Source organism: Homo sapiens, chromosome 2 (assembly GCF_000001405.40).
Source record: "Homo sapiens chromosome 2, GRCh38.p14 Primary Assembly".
Classification (NCBI taxonomy): Eukaryota; Metazoa; Chordata; class Mammalia; order Primates; family Hominidae; genus Homo; species Homo sapiens.
This window is the reverse complement of record NC_000002.12, coordinates 191,455,381-191,459,661: the sequence shown is the minus strand read 5'-3', so window position 1 is coordinate 191,459,661 and position 4,281 is coordinate 191,455,381. Positions and strand designations below refer to the sequence as shown.

The following is a 4,281-nucleotide window of genomic DNA, read 5'->3' as shown; positions in this document are numbered from 1 at the left end:
CAGAAGACAGAGTTTAGGAGTTGTAAAAGCAACTGAAAATTGAGCAGAGAAATCTCAGAAAAAAAAGATAACACAAGACTAGAGGACCTAAAAATCTGCGTATAAATTCCATGCAACACTTTGGATGATCTCTGAACTGCATCAAGTGGACCCCATGGAAAACAACAGATTTAAAAACATAAAAACTGACTAGAGATTTTAACTAGTTTGAAGTTTAAGTTCAGGTAAGTTAATTGCTTACTAGAATAACTGGATAACAGAATCCAAGAATCTCTGTAACATATCATCTACAATGTCTAGCATGCAATCCAAATTACTAGACATGTAAAGAAACAGAAAAATGTGATTCAGTTTAGAAAAAAAGTAATCAACAGAAACTAATTCTAAAATGACCAGATATTAAAATTAACAGACAAGAACTTTAAAGAAACTATTAGAAATATGCTCAGGGACTTAAAGGAAAATGTAGTCATAATTATTGTGAATCTCAGCAGAGAAATGGAAATGATAAAAAAGTGAAACTTTTAGAATTGAAAAGTATCTCTCAAATGAAAAATTCACTAAGATGGGGTTAACAATAAACTGGAAATAAAAGTAGAAAGTTCAGTGAAGTTCAAGATAGATCAATAGAAATAATCTTATCCATGGAACAGATAGAAAAAAACATGAAAAAATTTTGCTTTTTTTAATTTCTAGAGTTTAAGTGACATATGGGACAATATCAAACAGTGCAATATCTATGTAGATCTATGTAGTTAAAGTTATAGAAGAAGAGAGAGAGTACAGACCTGCACTACTAAAATAACAAGGGAAGACTTTTTTTCAAACTGAAAGGAAGTAACACCAGATAGAAACACAGACTTTCAGGAAAGAATGAAAAGCACTAAAATGGTAAACATGTGAGTAAAAGCATTTTTTAAATCTTTTTTCTCTATTTATTTAAAAATTTTCTCACTTTTTAAAGCAAATAATATTGTATTATTAAATTATGAAGTTTATAACATACATAGATATAAAATACATGAGAAGGATGACACAAAGATAGCAGAAGGTAATATTGGAAGGCTCTTACATTTTACCTAAAGTTGAACAATATATACATAGTTCTAAATTAAACAATAAGTTAAGGATACATATTGTAATCACCAGAGTAACCTCTAAAAAGAAATTACAAAGATGTGTAACCAAAAAGCCAATAGAAGTATTAAATGGGAATACTAAAATATATCTGATTAACCACTCTCCTCCCTCCAAAAATGACAGGAATACTAGAAATGGGGGGGTGGGGGTAAATAAGAAACATAGATTAGAGAAAAAACAACTAGCAAAAATGGTAGTCCTAAGTTCAACTGTATCAATAAATACATTAAATATAAAAAAGATATAAACACTCCAATAAAAGGGCAGATATAATCAGACTGGGAAAAAGGAAAGACTGCACTATGTGTTGTGTACAAGAGATACACGTTAACTAGAAAGACACAGATAAGCTCAAAGTAGAAGGGTGGAAAAAGGCATACTATGCAAACTGCAAGCATAAGAAAATTGGAGTGGCTGTATTAATATAACATACTGTGGTCTTCTAGACAAGAACTATTACCAGAGATGAAGACTTTTCATAAAGACAAAACAAAGTCATCAGGAAGACATAATCATAAATGAGTATGCACTTAATGACGGAGCTCCAAAATGCATGAAGCAAAAACTTACAGAACTAAAGGAAGAACTAGAAAAACCTTCAATCAGAGTTGGGAATTTTTAACACTCCCTTTCCAGTAATTGCACAGCAGATAAACTAAAAGAAAATTAATAAGGGTATAGAAGATCTGAGCAACCCTATCCACCACCTAACCTCATTGATATTTATAGAACACTACATCTAACAATTCTAGAATACACATTTTTCTCAAATGTACATTGAACACTCACCAAGAGAGACCTTATGCTGGGCCGTAAGATAAATCTCAGTATACGTCATAGCACTTAAATCTTACAAAGTATATTTTCTGATCACATCTAACTAAATTAGAAATCAATAACATAAGATACTTAGAAAAATTCCAAATATTTGGAATATTTAATATTCCATGTAATAAAATTTGACATAAATTCCATGTAATAAATAACATGAGTCTAACAAGATATTACAAGGGAAATTAGAAAATTTCAAACTGAGTGATAAGAAAATACATCATATTTATGACATACAGCTAAGTCAGTTCTTAAAGGGAAATTTATGGCTACAAATGCTTATATTTTAAAAAGATAAAAGATAAAAGATGGCCAGGTCCATTGGCTCACGCCTGTAATCCCAGCACTTTGGGAGGCTGAGGCAGGTGGATCATGAGGTCAGGAGTTTGAGACCAGCCTGACCAACATGGTGAAACCCCATCTCTACTAAAAATACAAAAATTAGCCAGGTGTGGTGGCACATGCCTGTAATCCCAGCTACTCAGGAGATTGAGGCAGGAGAATCACTTAAACCTGGGAGGCAGAGGTTTCAATGAGCCAAGATTGTGCCATTGCACTCCAGCCTGGGCAACAGAGACAGACTCCATCTCAAAAATAAAAATAAATAAATATAAGATTTAAAAATCAATGATCTAAGTTCTACATTAAGAAGATTGGTGGGTGGGGGTGGGGGAGGGGAAGCAAATTAAACCCAAAGTATGATAAAGGAAATAATAAAGAGCAAAACTAACCTAATATAAAATAGATTAAGAATAAAGAAAATCAACAAAGCCAAAAGGTGATTCTTTGAAAGAATTGACAAGGTTTTTGAAATGCTTTGCAAAAATGATTAAGAAAAAAGAGGGGGCAAACAGGAATTACCAGTATCCATACTGAAATATACCTTTCAGACCTTAAGAGATAAGAGCATATTATGAACAACTCTACATCAATAATGTCAAAAATTTGAATGCAATGAAAGTGACACAAGTGCAGCCCCCGCCCGGCCAGCCGCCCCATCCGGGAGGGAGGTGGGGGGCACCTCTGCCCGGCCGCCCCTTCTGGGAAGTGAGGAGCCCCTCTGCCCGGCCGCCACCCCGTCTGGGAGGTGTACCCAACAGCTCACTGAGAACGGGCCATGATGACAATGGCGGTTTTGTCGAATAGAAAAGGGGGAAATGTGGGGAAAAGATAGAGAAATCAGATTGTTGCTGTGTCTGTGTAGAAAGAAGTGGACATAGGAGACTCCATTTTGTTCTGTACTAAGAAAAGTTCTTCTGCCTTGGGATGCTGTTGATCTATGACCTTACCCCCAACCGGGTGCTCTCTGAAACATGTGCTGTGTCCACTCAGGGTTAAATGGATTAAGGGCGGTGCAAGATGTGCTTTGTTAAACAGATGCTTGAAGGCAGCATGCTCGTTAAGAGTCATCACCACTCCCTAATCTCAAGTACCCAGGGACACAAACACTGCGGAAGGCTGCAGGGTCCTCTGCCTAGGAAAACCAGAGACCTTTGTTCACTTGTTTATCTGCTGACCTTCCCTCCACTATTGTCCTATGACCCTGCCAAATCCTCCTCTGCAAGAAACACCCAAGAATGATCAATAAAAAAAAAATAATAAAAAAAATAAAAATAAAAATAAAAACGAAAGTGACACAAGTAAAATGGAACATAGCCTATATCTGTTGAAGAAAATCTGTTGATGCATTATCAAAAGAATTCCCACAACAGAGACAGCATGCCTAGGTGGTTTTACAAGCGAAGTCAACTAAACATTTAAGGAATAAATAATACCAGTCCAACACAAACTCCTACAGAAAATAGAGAAAGACAGAACACTCATTTTATGAGGCCTGTATAACCCTGATAACAAAGCATCAAAAATAAGAGAAAATTGCTGGGCGCAGTGGCTCATGCCTGCAATCCCAGCACTCTGGGAGGCCAAGGCAGGTGAATCACAAGGTAAAGAGAGAGACCATCCTGGCCAACATGGTGAAATCCCATCTCTACTAAAAATACAAAAATTAGCTGGGCATGGTGGCGCATGCCTGTAATCCCAGCTACTCGGGAGGCTGAGGCAGGAGAATTGCTTGAACCCGGGAGGCAGAGGTTGCAGTGAGCCGAGATCGTGCCCCTACACTCCAGCCTGGCAACAGAGTGAGACTTCGTCTAAAAAAAAAAGAGAAAATTACAGAACAATATCCTTCATGAACATATTCTTACAAAATTGTAGGAAATCAAATCCAGTAATATGTAAAAAGAATAATATTTCATGACCAAGAGTATCTATCTCAAGAATAAGAAGTTGGTTTAATATTCAAAAATCATG

General features: G+C 36.1%; 1 annotated feature.

Annotated features, from left to right (window-relative positions):
• Positions 3,090 to 3,601: an enhancer, noted in NCBI's record as "NANOG hESC enhancer chr2:192320787-192321298 (GRCh37/hg19 assembly coordinates)". NCBI's record gives its function as "activates a minimal SCP1, AML or CMV promoter by ChIP-STARR-seq in naive H9 embryonic stem cells {active_cell/tissue: H9 hESC(naive)}" and the evidence as "EXISTENCE:reporter gene assay evidence [ECO:0000049][PMID:30033119]".